Raw genomic sequence first — 16105 nt, 5'->3', positions numbered from 1 at the left:
CACGGTTCACTGCAGCATCACCTGCTGGCTCAAGCCATCCTCCCACCTCAGTCTGCCCGAGTATCTGGGACTACAGGTGTGCACCACTGTGCCTGGCTAATTTTTGTATTTTTTGTAGAGATGGGGTTTCTCCATGTTGCCCAGGCTGGTCTCCAGCTCCTGGGCTCAAGCTATCTGCCTGTGTTGATCTCCCAAAGTGCTGGGATTACAGGTGTGAGCCATCGTGGATGGCCTGCTGGCTTCTTTTTGAACTTAGAACCTTGTGAGTTTGGGGATGTGCAAGTAATTTTAGAACATATCACTTACTGTCTCCTATCATTTTCAGAACAAGGCAAAGTTTGTATAAATAAAACAGTTTCAGCTGGTTTGAGTGGTAGAGTATAAACTACCTTTCAGTTAAGTCTTAAAAATGTAATCTGGTAGGAGTCATTCCTGGAACTGAGAAGCACTCCTCTGGCAGGAGAGGGAAAGGTGGCTGAGATGTCTCACAGATGCATCAGGGCTCTTCGCAGCCTGTTTCTGCTGCTCCTCATTCGCACAATTCTATTACTTGCTTCATTCATGCCCTGGCAGGCTGAAGACTGGGCATTGGAGCAAAAATGTTAGAACTAGCCTCCCTCCCACTAGGACTCAGTCTGGTGGGGAGGGAGGGATATGTAAACAAATGGTATATTATTATAAGAGTATAACATATAAGAATGTGTTGGATTAACTAAAGTTTTTGGCTGGGCACATTGGCTTGTGCCTATAATCCAAGCACTTTGGGAGGCTGAGGTGGGAGGATTTCTTAAGCCCAGGACTTTGAGACCAGTCTGGGCAACATGGCTAGACCGTGTCTCTCTCTCTCTCTTTTTAAATTTCTTTTTCTTTTTTCTTTTTTTTTTTTTTTTCGAGAAAGGTTCTTGCTCTGTCACTCAGGCTGGAGCGCAGTAGCACGATCATCGCTCACTGCAGCTTTGACCTCCTGGCTCGAACAGTCCTCCTACCTCAGTCCTCCTGAGTAGCTGGGGCTACTGGCATGCACCACCAAGCCTGGCTACTTTTGTATTTTTTGTAGAGTGGGGTCTAGCTATGTTGCCCAAGCTGTTCTGACTCCTGGACTCAAACGATATACCCACCTCAGAATACAGGCATGAGCCACTATGCCTGGCTGAGACCCTATCTCTTTAAAAAAAGAAGAGAAAGAAAAAAGAAATAAAGTTTTCACATGCCTGTTGCATCCATGAGAACAAGCTAATGAAAATACACACACAGCAGGGAGATGGTGCCCACTGAAAAGGATCTGGCCCTCACCTCCCTGCAATCTGAGTGTATGAAAAAAAAGTCCTATCTAGAAATCCTTCATATCTTGTGAAGATGAATTAAAAGCAGGATGTCAACTTGGCTACCTCAAAATTTCACAAGGAGAAAAACTCCAAAATCTTATATAGAAATGTCCATAATAAATCATCTTTGATTCTAACAAAATTAAGAATATTAAAAATAAAAGAAAGTGTTAGGGAAAAATGAGATGCCCCACAATACCTTGCTGGACCTCCATGGTCCCCAGTTGAAAGTGACCATGTATTTAACACCACAGATATGCAGTAGAGTGCACATAGAAGTCTGATAGTTGACAATGCTGATAAATTATTGTTTCTACCATGTACTGTAAAAATTTGTAAAATTTTAGTACTTTCTTTTTGTAATTTCTTTTGGTAAAATGTTAGATTTATTCTTAATCCCAAAAGTTTATTCTATGATGGTAATATTCAGCTTTGGCTTCAGCTTTGACAGAGTATTGATTTTTGATAATTGGTAATTCAGTATTTGGTCAAAAAATATATATGGGGCATGTCTTGTAGCCATGAGTGTATAGTGGTATTGGTTTGCCCAGGTGGGCGCTGTTCTCCAGCCTGGGGATGGTTGGAGCAGGTGTTTTGCTGGGTGGTGTGGTGGAAGGGCAGTGGAATGAGGAAGCTGAAGATTTGGCAAGACTAGTGGAAATGATAGCTCTTGGTGCCCAGAACCATAGTTTCCTGCCTATCAGGTTTGTAAGTGTCTTGCCTGGCAGGGTAGGTTTGCCTCCCGAGAAGACTAAGAGGGAGGGAGGACACCGTAGCTTATCTTTCTTTCATTAGCTCTAGAAGTGTTTCACCTTTCCATGTGCATTTTAAGTTGCTAAGGAAGCAAGTTGGATTGTCAGGAAACTGCAAGTTTGATGTGAGAAGTCAGGCCCATTCCCATTCTGACCCTCTATAGAGCGCGATGTGATGATTGATAGCCAAGCTGACCAGAGAACTTTAGAGCTTAAAGAATTTTATAAGCAATAACAACCATTATCATTATCATCATTATTTATTTATTTATTTTTTGCCAGACAGTCTGAGTATGTTTATATCATCATTATTTTTGATGCTACCTGTCAGGTAGCTTTCCAAAGTGATAATATTTTTATTATAAAATATTTAAATATCATATTGATAAATTGAATGTTTCCTTGACCATCCCATGGCCAGTCTCAATCTTTGTCCCACTGGTAACCATTGTTACCAATGGGATTAAGGATATACACTAAACTGGTAACAGTTTACCGGTTAAAGGATATACACTAAACTGGTAGCAGTTTACCAGTTAAACTGCTACCAGTTTAGTATATATTCTTCCAGACCGTTTAGTGTACATTTACATGTATGTACCTATAACATTATATATTTTGTGAAGTGGGGTTTATATAAGTGGTTTTATCTTATATATATTATTCAGTAACTACTTTTTTCATGTAATTATGAAAATTTGAGGCTTTTTTTTGAGACGGAGTTTTGCTCTTGTCGCCCAGGCCGGAGTGCAGTGGCACAGTCCCGGCTCACTGCAACCTCCGCCTCCCAGGTTCAAGTAATTCTTCTGCCTCAGCCTCATGAGTAGCTGGGACTATAGGCGTGCGCTACCACGCCCAACTAATTTTTGTAGAAAAATTACGGCTTTTTAAAGATCTACTAATTTTAACCAATTTGCCATTAGTCCATTAGTTTTTTCTTTAAACTTGCCTACACTACTAAAACCAGTTCTATTGCCTTTATCAGATTCTTTGTTCTGTGAGTTACCAGGAGTGTAAAAAATACAAATAATAAAAAAGATGAAAACAAAATCACCCAACCAAAAAAGAACAGGAACAAAAATAATTCTTAATGATGGACCCATAGGGAAAAGCAGACTGTTAGTATGAAGTAGGGCACAAAGAAATGGACATCAAGACAACTATGCCAACAAGACTGTTGAAAGTATTACATTTATAGAGCATTTAGCATAGTGCCTGGCACACAGTAAATATTTAGTGAAGGGTAGTTCATAGCTACATCACAGAAGAAATCCAACAGAGAATTGAAAAACACTTCAGCATGGGAGCAAGAGGTGGGGGAAATGGTGTTTTCTGCCTGTCTGCTGAAATGTCGACCTGCTTCCCTAGCCTCTCTGAACCTTTGTGAAGAATGGTTGAGGTGAAAGCTATAGTAGGAATAGCATAGGAACTATGGCGTTTTTATTGGGGCAGGTGTGTGGTGGTGGTAGCACCCAGTGGCTACACAGAATAGTGCAATTCCACATCTTGTACTTTGAAAATATTTGAACAGACCAATATAATTGAAGCAATATGATTAGTGACCAAGTATTTATATGGGCTACTTTTTGTTTGTTTGTTTTCTTTTTGAGACAGTCTCGCTCTGTCACCTAGGCTGGAGTGCAGTGGCGCAGTCTCGGCTCACTGCAACTTGAACTCTCAGGTTCAAGCAGTCCTCCCAGCTCAGCCTTCCAAAGAGCTGGGATTGCAGGCGCCTGCCACCGTGCCTTATCTTACATATATTATTTTTGTATTTTTAGTAGAGACGGGGCTTTGCCATGATGGCCAGGCTGGTCTTGAACTCCTGGCCTCAAGTGATCTGCCCACCTTGTCCTCCCAAAGTTTTGGGATTACAGGCATGAGCCACTGCACCTGGCCTGGGCTGCTTTTTGTAAGATACTGTAGGCATCTCCATTCATAATATGAAGATATAGTTTCTGAATACTATAATTATTTGCTGTTCTTCAGCTTCTGAAATTCCTTAAGGAAGAATCAGTCGTAATATAAGCATAAAAGAAGACCAGGGCTGGGTGCAGTGGCTCATGCCTGTAATCCTAGCACTTTGGGAGGTCAAGGTGGGCAGATTGCCTGAGCTCAGGAGTTTGAGAGCAGCCTGGGCAATATGGCAAAACCCCATCTCTACTGAAAATATAAAAATTAGCCAGGCGTGGCGTGCCTATAGTCCTAGCTACTCAGGAGGCTGAGGCACAAGAATTGCTTGAACCTGGGAGGTAGAGGTAGCAGTGAGCTGAGATGGCACCACTTCACTTGAGTCTGGGAGGCAGAGCAAGACTCTTATCTCCAAAAAAAAAAAAAAAAAAAAAAAAAGAGAGAGAAGTACATCTTTTATTTTTTTCTTTTTCCTTAGATTCCTTCTAATCATTTATCTTGTTTTCCATTGGTATTTTAGGGGCAGAGACTGAGAAGGAGAGAGAGGTAGACAACCTTTGTTTCAGAAAACGTGTAGTTTTTTCAAGAAAAGACATTTTTTTTTTAATACTTTAAGTTTTAGGGTACATGTGCACAATGTGCAGGTTTGTTACGTATGTATACATGTGCCATGTTGGTGTGCTGCACCCATTAACTCATCATTTAACATTAGGTATATCTCCTAATGCTATCCCTCCCCACTCCCCGATTTTTTTTTCTTATTTGATTCCTTTTTCTTAGATCAAGCTTGTCCAACCTGTGGCCCAACATAAATTCATAAACTTTCTTTAAACATTATGAGATTTTTTTTTGCGATTTTGTTTTCTTTCTTTTTGTTTTTTTTTTGAGACAGAGTCTCACTCTGTTGCCCAGGCTGGAGTGCAGTGGTGCAGTCTTGGCTTACTGCAACCTCTGCCTCCTGGGTTCAAGTGATTCTCCTGCGTCAACCTCCCGAGTAGCTGCGATTACAGGCATGTGCCACCACACCTGGCTAATTTTTGTATTTGTAGTAGAGACGGGGTTTCACCACATTGGTCAGGCTGGTTACGAACCCCTGACCTCAAGTGACACACCTGCCTCAGGCCTCCCAAAGTGCTAGGATTACAGGTGTGAGCCACCGCACCCAGCCCTTTTTCTTTTCTTTTCTTTTTTTTTTAAGCTCATCAGCTATCATTAGTATTTTATGTGTCACCCAAGACAATTCTTCTTTCAGTGTGGCCCAGGGAAGCCAAAAGATAAGGCACCCCTGTCTTAGATCATTAGAATTTTCAGGTTCCCACTAAGGAACTATTTAGCTGGTTCAGCTTTCTTGTCTTTCACATAATTAGAGAGGAGGCATGACTTACTGAGGGTTGTACAGAAAGAGGGAGCACTAGAACTCACAATTCTTGATTCCTAGGCTAGTGTCTTCTTCACTGCCTCCCATTTTTTTGCAAAGAGCATTTTTAAAAATTCAGTGCAAAGGCAGTATGCATTATCTTTAAGATTGGAGGCTCTGAAGCCAGCCTGCCTGGATTGATAGCTCAGATTTTCCTTTTGCTGGTTGATAACATTGGTTGTTATTTAATCTCTCTGTGCCTTGTTTTCTTCATCTCTAAGATGAGGGTAGTAGTAAAAACTCCCTTACAGGGTTCTTATGAGGTTTAAATGAATTCAAATATGTAAAGTGCTTAGGACAGACAGTACCTGGTACATGGTAAGCAACAAAAAAATGTTAGCTGCTATTGTTACTGTGTTTCTTGTACTTTCTTCATCTGCATAGTGCTTAGTACCAAGTATGGATTGATATGGTTAATTTTCTTATTTCTGATTTTATATCAGTGAGATGTTGAATAATATAAATATTAATTTTTTAACATCTGAAATAGTTGATGTTTTTGCTTCTGCAATACTCTTTGTCTTCTTATACAATAATTATGTTTTCTATGTAGACTGTTACAGTAAAGTGCTTGCTTTAAGGTGATGTTGAGTGTATCATTTGATTTGAATGTGTCATTTGATTCTTTTTTTTTTCCCCACAGCAATACAAGTTCTTGCGTTTTAGGAGATCTCTGCTCTTATTAGTTAAACACAGTTGTGTGGAATCACTGTTCCTGGTTAGAAATTTCTGCATTTTATATTATTTTCTTGGTAAGAATTTCTGCTTTTTGATACAGTGATATATTATCTCATAGCCCAGAAAATGTCAGTTACAAAGTCATTCTTGTGTTTTTGTGTTTTCTACAGTTATAGGTATGTGATTAGCTCAACTGATTCATTGTTTAAATTGTCAAAGAGAATGTATTTAGGAAAATATTGTTGAAGAAAATGTGACATATGCCTATAACGAAATATTATTTAGCCTTTAAAAAGAAGGAAATCTTGTTATGTACTACAGCTTGAATAAACCTTGAGGACATTACGCTAAGTGAAATAAGCCAGTCACAAAAAGACAAATACTGTATGATTCCACTTATATGAGGTATCTAAAATAGTCAAACTCTTAAAAAACAGAATGGTGGTTGTCAGCCTGGAGAGTTGGGAAGGGGTGGAGTTGTTCAGTGGGTATAGAGTTTCAGTTTTGCAAAATGAAAAGTTCTAGAAATCTGTTGCACAAAAATGTGCATATAGTTAACACTACTGTATTGAACACTTAAAGATGGCTAAAATGGTAAATTTTTTTTTTTTTTTGATGATCTGTCACCCAGGCTGGAGCGTAATGGCGCGATCTTGGCTCACTGCAACCTCCGCCTCTTGGGTTCAAGTGATTCTCCTGCCTCAGCTTCCCAAGTAGCTGGGACCACTACCAGGCGTGCACCACCATACCCGGCTATTTTTTGTATTTTTAGTAGAGATGGGGTTTCACCATGTTGGCCAGGCTGGTCTTGGACTCTTGACCTCAGGTGATCCGCCCACCTCTGCCTCCCAAAGTGCTAGGATTACAGGCATGAGCCACCACGCCCGGCCTAAGATGGTAAATTTTATGTGTAGGTTTTTTACCACAATTAAAAACAAATGCATTCTTTTTTTAAGAAAGAAAAAATACTGTGCATCATTTGGTCATTACTCTATCTAGAAATGACATCCTCCTTTTTATAATTTGTAACTTGATACTAATACAATGTAAATATTTTGTTGGTAGGGGAAACTTGTGGAATTTATTAACATGAATATTAAGCACAAAAATCAGTTTATTATTTAGTATCATGAATAGTGCAAGGTGAAAACATTAATCTTGTTAGCAACATGTAATAATTTAAACAAAATCCTACCTTCAGAAATACTATTTTCAGATTATAACTTTTTCTGATCCTATATTTTCTATGGATATATATTTTATAAAATTCTTCTCACTGTGTATAGGCCATCCTGTTTATTTCTTTCACTTGTAGTTTATATAGTCCATTTCTACATAGCTCTTATGATTGTCATTCTTCTGTAAATACTTCACTGTCATGTTTTTCTTTTATATTTCTTCTTTCTTTCTTTCTGTAAGTTATTGGGGTACAGGTGGTATTTGGTTACAGGAGTAAATTCTTTAGTGGTAATTTGTGAGATTTAGGTGCACCCATCACCCAAGCAGTATACATTGCACCTTATTTGTAGTCTTTTATCCCTCATCCCCCTCCCACTCTTGCTTGCAAGTCCCCAAAGTCCATTGTATTATTCTTATGCCTTTGCATCCTCAGTTTAGCTCCCACGTATCAGTGAGAACATACAATGTTTGATTTTCCATTCCTGAGTTACTTCACTTAGGATAATAGTCTCCAGTCTCATCCAGGTCACTGCAAATGCTGATAATTCATTCCTTTTTATGTGCATAGTATTCCATCATATATATATACACAGTTTCTTTATCCACTCGTTGATTGATGGGCATTTGGGTTGGTTCCACAATTTTGCTATTGTGAATTGTGCTGCTATACATATGTGTGTGCAAGTATCCTTTTTGAATAATGACTTCTTTTCCTCTGAGTAGATACGCAGTAGTGGGATTGCGGGATCAAATGGTAGTTCTACTTTTAGTTCTTTAAGGAATCTCCACACTTTTCCATAGTGGCTGTACTAGTTTACATTCCCACAAGCAGTGTAGAAGTGTTCCTTGTTGACCGCATCCACGCCAACATCTACTGTTTTTTGATTTTTTGATTATGGCCATTCTTGGAGGAGTAAGGTGGTATTGCATTGTGGTTTTAATTTGCATTTCCCTGATCATTAGTGATATTGAGCATTTTTTCATATGTCATTTGCCATTTGTCATTTTCTATGTCATTGACTATTTGTATATCTTCTTTTAAGAATTGTCTATTCATGTCCTTAGCCCACTTTTTGATGGGATTGTTTGTTTTTTTTCTTACTGATTTGTTTGAGTTTGTTGTAGATTCCAGATATTAGTCCTTTGTCACATGTATAGATTGTAAAGATTTTCTCCCACTCTGTGGGTTGTCTGCTTACTTTGCTGTTTTTTTTTTTTTTGTTTTTTGTTTCCCCATGCAAAAGCTCTTTAGTTTAATTAGGTCCCAGCTATTTATCGTTGTTTTTATTGCATTTGCTTTTGGGCTTTTGGTCGTGAAATCCTTGCCTAAGCCAATGTCTAGAAGGGTTTTTTTCAATGTTATCTTCTAGAATTTTTATGGTTTCAGGTCTTAGGTTTAAGTCCTTAATCCATCTTGAGTTGATTTTTGTATAAGGTGAGAGATGAGGATCCAGTTTCATTCTTCTACATGTGGCTAGCCAATTATCCCAGCATCATTTGTTGAAAAGGGTGTCCTTTCCCCACTTTATGTTTTTGTTTGCTTTGTCGAAGATCAGTTGGCTGAAAGTATTTGGGTTTATTTCTGGGTTCTCTATCCTGCTCCATTGGTCTATGTGCGTATTTTCACACCAGTACCGCTCTGTTTTGGTGACTATGGCTTTATAGTATAGTTTGAAATCAGGTAGTGTGATGCCTCCAGATTTGTTCTTTTTGCCTAGTCTTGCTTTGGCTATGTGGGCTCTTTTTTGGTTCCATATGAATTTAAGAATTGTTTTTTCTAATTCTGTGAAGAATGATGGTGGTATTCTGATGGGGATTGTGTTGAATTTTTAGATTGCTTTTGGCAGTATGGTCATTTTCATAATATTAATTACCCATCCATGAGCATGGGATGTGTTTCCATTTGTTTGCGTTGCCTGATTTCTTTCAGCAATGTTTTGTAGTTTTCCTTGTAGAGATCTTTCGACTCCTTGGTTAGGTATACTCTTAAGTATTTTATTTTTTTTGCAGCTATTCTAAAAGGGTTTGAGTTCTTGATTTGATTCTCCACTTGGTCACTGTTGGTGTATAGAAGAGCTACTGATTTGTGTGCATTAATCTTGTAGCTGGAAACTTTGCTGAATTCTTTTATCAGTTCTAGGAACTTTCTGGAGGAGCCCTTAGGGTTTTTAAGGTAAACGATCATATCATCAGCAAACAGTGACAGTTTGACTTCCTTTTTACTGATTTGGATGCCTTTAAATTCTTTCTCTTGTCTCATTGCTCTAGCTAGGACTTCCAGTACTATGTTGAAGAGGAGTGGTGAGAGTGGGCATTCTTGTCTGTTCCAGTTCTCAGAGGGAATGCTTTCAGCTCTTCCCCATTCAGTGTTATGTTGGCTGTGGCTTTCTCATAGATGGCTTTTATTACATTAAGTTATGGCCCTTGTATGCCAATGTTGCTGAGAATTTTAATTATAAAGGAATGCTGGATTTTGTTGAATGTTTTTTCTGCATCTGTTGAGATGATCATGTGATTTTTGTTTTTAATTCTGTTTATGTGGTGTATCACATTTATTGACTTGTGTATGTTAAACCATCCCTGCATCCCTGGCATGAGACCCACTTTATCATGGTGGATTATCTTTTTGATATGTTGTTGGATTCCGTTAGCTAGTATTTTGTTAAGGATTTTAGCATCAATATTCATCAAGGATAACAGTCTGTAGTTTTTCTTTTTTGGTTGTGTCCCTTCTGATTTTGGTATTAGGGTGATGCTGGCTTCATAAAATGAATTAGGGAGGGTTCCTTCTTTATCTTGTGCAATAGTGTCAAAAGGATTGGTACTAATTCTTCTTTGAATGTCTGGTAGAATTCTGCTGTGAATCCATCTGGTCCTGGACTTTTTTTTGTTGGTAATTTTAAAATTACCATTTCAATCTCACTGCTTGTTATTGGTCTGTTCAGGTTATCTGATTCTTCCTGATTTAAGCTAGGAAGGTTGTATTTTTCCAGGAATTTATCTGTCTCTTCTAGGTTTGGCAGTTTATGTGCGTAAAGGTGTTGTTCATAGTAGTTGTGAACAATCTTTCATATTTCAGTGGTGTCAGTTGTAATATCTCCTGTTTTGTTTCTTAGTGAGGTTATTTGGATTTTCTCTCTTCTTTTTTTGGTTAATCTTGCTAATGGTCTATCAGTTTTACTTATCTTTTCAAAGAACCAGCTTTTTGTTTCATTTATCTTTTGTATTTTTGTTGTTGTTTTTGTTTCAAATTCATTTAGTTCTGCTCTGATCTCAGTTATTTCCTTTTTTCAGCTGGGTTTGGGTTTGATTTGTTATTTCTCTAGTTCCTTGAGGTGTGACCTTAGAATGTCAGTTTGTGCTCTTTCACTCTTTTTGATGTAGGTGCTTAGGGCTATGAACTTTCCTCTTAGCACCGCCTTTGCTGTATCCCAGAGGTTTTGATAGGTTGTGTCATTATTGTCATTCAGTTCAAAAAATTATTTTTTATTTATTTATTTATTTATTTTTTGAGACGGAGTCTTGCTCTGTTGCCCAGGCTGGAGTGCGATGGCGCGATCTTGACTCACTGCAAGCTCCACCTCCCGGGTTCACGCCATTCTCCTTCCTCAGCCTCCTGAGTAGCTGGAACTACAGGTGCCCGCCACCACGCCCGGCTACATTTTTTTGTATTTTTAGTAGAGACGGGGTTTCACAGTGTTGGCCAGGATGGTCTCGATCTCCTGACCTCGTGATCCACCCGCCTTGGCCTCCCAAAGTGCTGGGATTACAGGCATGAGCCACTGCGCCCAGCCAAAAAATTTTTTAATTTCCATCTTGATTTAGTTTTTGACCCAGTGCTCATTCAGGAGCAGATTATTTAATTGCCATGTATTTGCATGGTTCTGAAGGTTTCTTTTGGAGTTGATTTCCAGTTTTATTCCACTGTGATCTGAGAGAGTGCTTGATATAATTTCAGTTTTCTGAAATTTATTGAGGTTTGTTTTATGGCCTATCATATGGTCTATCTTGGAGAAAGTTCCATGTGCTGTTGAATAGAATGTGTATTCTATGGCTGTTGGATGAAATGTTCTGTATCTATCTGTTAAGTCCATTTGTTCCAGGTATAGTTTAAATCCATTGTTTTTTTGTTGACTTTCTGTTCTCATAACCTATCTAGTGTCGTCAGTGGATTATTGAAGTCCCCCACTATCGTGTTGCTGTCTATCTCATTTCTTAGGTCTGTTAGTAATTGTTTTATAAATTTGGGAGCTCCAATGTTAGATGCATATATGTTTAGGATTGTGATATTTTCCTGTTGGACGAGACCTTTTAACATTATATAATGTCCCTCTTTGTCTCTTTTAACTGCTGTTGCTTTAAAATTTGTTTTGTCTGATATAAGAATAGCTACCTCTGCTTGCTTTTAGTGTCCACTTGCATGAAATGCCTTTTTCCACCCTTTTACTTTAAGTTTATGTGGGTCCTTGTGTGTTAGGTGAGTCTCCTGAAGGCAGCAGATGGTTAGTTGGTGAGTTCTTATCCATTCTGTGGTTCTGTATCTTTTAAGTGGAGGATTTAGGCCATTTACATTCAATGTTAGTATTGAAATATTAGGTACCATCGAATTCACCATGCTTTTTGTTGCCTGTGTACTTGTTTGTTTGCTTTTTGTTTTTGCTTTTCAACATGTATTTTTGTTTTATAGGTCCTGTTTGATTTATGCTTTAAAGAGGTTCTGTTTTGATGTGTTTCCAGAATTTGTTTCAAGATTTAGAGCTCCTTTTAGCAGTTCTTGTAATGGTGGCTTGGTAATGGCGAATTCTCTCAGCATTTATTTGTCTGAAAAAGGCTGTATGTTTTCTTCATATATGATGCTTAGTTTCGCTGGATACAAAATTCTTGGCTGATAATTGTTTTGTTGGAGGAGGCTGAAGATAGAGCCCCAATCCCTTCTAGCTTGTCGGGTTTCTGCTGATAAATCTGCTGTTAATCTGATAGGTTTTCCTTTATAGGTTACCTGGTGCTTCTGTCTCACAGCTCTTAAAGATCCTTTCCTTCGTCTTAACTTTGGATAACCTGATGACAGTGTGCCTAGGCAAAGATCTTTTTGTGATGAATTTTTCAGGTGTTCTTTGGTGCTTCTTGTATTTGGATGTCTAGGTCTAGCAAGGCCAGGGAAGTTTTCCTTGATTATTCCCCCATATATGTTTTCCAAGCATTTAGAATTCTCTTCTTCCTCAGGAACATCGATTATTCTTAAGTTTGGTCGTATAACATAATCCCAGACTTCTTGGAGACCTTGTCCATATTCTCCTTTTTTTTCTTTGTCTTTGTTGGATTGGGTTAATTTGAAGATCTTGTCTTCAAGCTTTGAATTTCTTCTACTTGTTAAATTCTATTGCTGAGACTTTCCAGAGCATTTCGCATTTCTAAAAGTGAATCCAAAGTTTCCTGAATTTTTTATTGTTTTTTCTTTAAGCTATCTATTTCTATGAATATTTCTCCCTTCACTTCTTGTATCATTTTTTGGATTTCCTTGCATTGGGCTTCGCCTTTCTCTGGTCCCTCCCTGATTAGCCTAATAACTAACCTCCTGAATTCTTTTTCAGGTTAAGTCAGGGATTTCTTCTTGGTTTGGATCCATTACTGGTGAACTAGTGTGATTTTTTTTGGGGGTGTTGAAGAGCCTTGTATAGTCATATTACCAGGGTTGGTTTTCTGGTTCCTTCTCATTTGGGTAGGCTCTGTCAGAGGGAAGGTCTAGGGCTGAAGGCTGTTGTTCACATTCTTTTGTCCCACGAGGTGTTCCTTTGATGCAGTACTCTCCGCCTTTTCCTATGGATGTGGCTTCCTGTGAGCCGAACTGCAGTGATTGTTGTTTCTCTTCTGGGTCTAGCCACCCAGCGAGTCTGCCTGTCTCTGGGCTGATACTGGGGGTTGTCTGCACAGAGTCCTGTGATGTGAACTGTTTCTGGGTCTCTCAGGCATGGATACCAGTGCGTGTTCCAGTGGAGGTGGTGAGGGGGTGCAGTGGACTCCATGAGGGTTCTTAGCTTTGGTGGTTTAATGCTCTACTTTTGTGCTGATTGGGCCTCCTGCCAGGAGGTGGCGCTTTCCGGAAAACCTCAGCTGTAGTAGTGTGGAGAGGGACTGGCAGTGGGTGGGGCCCTAGAACTCCCAAGATTATATGTCCTTTGTATTGAGGTAGGGAAGGACCATCAGGTGGGGGTGGGGATAGGCGAGTCTGAGCTCAGACTCTCCTGGGTCAGTTTTTGCTGCAGCTGCTGTGGGGAATGGGAGTTAGATTCCTAGGTCACTGGAGTTGTGTGCCTAGGAGGATTATGGCTGCCTCTGCTGAGTCATGCAGGCTGTCAGGGAAGTGGGGGAAAGTGGCAGTCACAGGCCTCACCCAGGTCCCATGCAAACCAAAGGGCCAGTCTCACTCCCACCGCCCTGCAACAGCCCTGAGTCTGTTTCCAGGTGGAAGGCCAGATGGGCTTGAAAACTTGCCCTGGGCTACCCGCCTCCCAGCTGGGAGAGAAAAGAGCTTGGTTCTTGCCCCACCTGTGGAGTCTACACATTAGATTTGCCCTCTCCCCCAAGTTCTGGCCAGGAGGCTTCTTGCCCCATTTAAATTGTTACAAAGTTCAGCTGGAGATTTCCTTTTCCCTGTGGAGTTTTACTCCCTGCTCCTCTGGTCAACCTTCTGATGGATCCCTGTGGTGCCAGGCAGGAATGGCCTGCTAGGGAGTGCAGCAAGCTCCCAGGGCCTTTCTGCTGCTTCCTCTACCCCTGTATTTCGCTTGACTCTCTAAACTGGTTCAGCTCCAGGTAAGGTCAGAAACTTCTCCCACAGACAGACCTTCACCTTCTCCAGTGGGGGTGTGTGTTCAGAAGAGGAGGGTCTTCCTTTTCCACTTCCACAGTTGGGGCACTCACAGTATTTGGGGTGTCTCCCGGGTCCTCAGGAGCAGTCTGCTTCCTTCAGAGGGTCTGTGGGTCCTCTTGTGATTGCTGGTTTGTTCTTGCAGTCGATCTGGAGCTAAAAATCACAACACAAGCATCTGCAAGCTGCCCTGTTTGGAGCTGCAATCTAGTCCTGCCACCCATCTGCCATCATGATTAGTAGTGTCTCTTTTCTTTTAGAGATGGGGTCTTGCTATGTTGCCCAGGCTAGTCTTGAACTCTTGGCCTCAAGTGATCCTCCCACCTTGGCCTCCCAGAGTACTGGGATTATAGGCATGAGCCATCACGCTCAGCCTCATTGCAATGTATTGACCTACTACATACAGTCAGCCTGGTTGTTCCTCTAGAGTTGTTTATTTGGGCTATTTTTGTGACTATGATCATTTCCATGATTTGCTCTTTCTCCTATAACTTCATTTATGTTCAATTCAAATTTCGTTTTCAGCATTATCACTTTTCATTTCTTTGTTGCACTTTGATTTTTTTTTTTTTTGCCAGTTTCTTCTTTTTTTTAATTAAAACCATTTTATTTTTTATGGAACGCTTCATGAATTTGCATGTCATCCTTGCGCAGGGGTCATGCGCAATTCCCCTTTTAGTATGCGCAATTCCAATTTTAGTATATGTGCTGCTGAAGCAAGCACTACTTTCCTGTTTTAGCTATTCATTTTTTAAAAGTATCATTTGGATTTATTGTGGGAAACAAGGAGGCAACACAACTACATGCTTTGCTGTCTGTGTCTGTACTGAATAACAGATCCAAGTGACCAATCAGCAACAGACTTTGAGAGAATTGATGGGATTGGGTCACAGATTATAATGCACATCGGTTATCTACATATTGATTTGTGTCCTGAAAAGTTAGAAGTGCTATATGCAGTTGCTTATAGTTAATATACCACAGTAACTAGAGTTTGAACTGCATTTTTGGGTGACTGGTATTTTTTAACTAAACCATGGTAACTGAAATGTGTATATATCAGAACTGTACAAAGCAAAGACTGCCTGTGTTAATAAGTACTGTCTTTTCCTACTCATTCCTAATAAGTCTAACATTTTGACTGAGGTCTTGGTGTCTGTGTGGCCATGTCATTGACCTTATATTCTAAAGCTTGACTAAAACTTGTTTTATAACTTTTTATGTTCATAGCTTGGTATTTTTTCCCTTCAGGCTATATTCCCAAAGCTTGGATTAGCACTGCTATGAACCTTCACATAGATGAGTAAGTGATACCTAAAAAGTCTAATTTTAACTCTGTTTCCATTCTTTTAGATGTTTGCTATTTTCCAGATATTTTGTTTAGATTTTGCCTTTAACATTTTTTTAAAAATTGTATTCATTTTTGAATACATATAGTTTATATGGTTTAAAATTCCAAAGGTGTATAAAAGGGTAAAATTAGCAGGACTTGGTGGTACTTGCCTGTAGTCCCAGCTACTTGGGAGGTTGAGGCAGGAGGATCGCTTGAGCCCAGGAGTTCAAGGATGCGGTGAGCTATAATTGTGCCACTGCACTCCAGCCTAGGCAATAGAGCGAGACCCTGTCTCAAAAAGAAAATAATAATAATAGGGTATAAAATGAAAAAGTCTCCTCCTCTGTCTCCACTCACCCAGTTCTCCGCAGAAGTAAGCAATGATAATTGTTCTTAGATGCAGCTTTTATACTATACAAAAGTGGCTTTCTCGAGTTGCATGGACCAGGCCTCTGTTTCGTTTTTCTCCCCAACAATCATTCCTTCTCTGGTGTCTCATGATATATACCAATGCTGTGGCATTATTCTAATTTAGCCTATGAGAGGAAACCAAAATTGAGCAAGGTCAGGTAATCAGTTGAAGGTCACAAGTGGCAGTCAAGTGACAGCACGGTTGTATATTGTTGTAGTAATCTTCTATGCACT

General features: G+C 39.6%; 1 protein-coding gene and 1 pseudogene across 4 annotated transcripts in view, besides 1 other annotated feature; one reads left to right on the top strand and one right to left on the bottom strand.

Annotated features, from left to right (window-relative positions):
• The window catches only part of NDC1 (NDC1 transmembrane nucleoporin), a 72819-nt gene that overhangs the window by 13172 nt on the left and 43542 nt on the right, over positions 1–16105 (top strand). For all 4 annotated transcript variants that reach the window (NR_033142.2, NM_001168551.2, NM_018087.5 and 1 more), the window contains 2 exons: positions 6046–6154; positions 15379–15430. Coding sequence is in view for 3 of the 4 variants with exons in the window: in NM_001168551.2 (NP_001162023.1) it covers positions 6046–6154; positions 15379–15430 (161 nt within the window). In the remaining variant the exon portion in view is untranslated. The remainder of the gene's footprint in view (positions 1–6045; positions 6155–15378; positions 15431–16105) is intronic.
• Positions 13052–13586: an enhancer, noted in NCBI's record as "H3K27ac hESC enhancer chr1:54277212-54277746 (GRCh37/hg19 assembly coordinates)". NCBI's record gives its function as "activates a minimal SCP1, AML or CMV promoter by ChIP-STARR-seq in naive H9 embryonic stem cells {active_cell/tissue: H9 hESC(naive)}" and the evidence as "EXISTENCE:reporter gene assay evidence [ECO:0000049][PMID:30033119]".
• LOC124904725 (uncharacterized) lies at positions 14737–14851 on the bottom strand (annotated as a pseudogene).

Source organism: Homo sapiens, chromosome 1, assembly GCF_000001405.40.
Source record: "Homo sapiens chromosome 1, GRCh38.p14 Primary Assembly".
Taxonomy (NCBI): domain Eukaryota; kingdom Metazoa; phylum Chordata; class Mammalia; order Primates; family Hominidae; genus Homo; species Homo sapiens.
The sequence above is the reverse complement of the archived record's forward strand: the minus strand, read 5'-3'. Positions and strand labels throughout refer to the sequence as shown.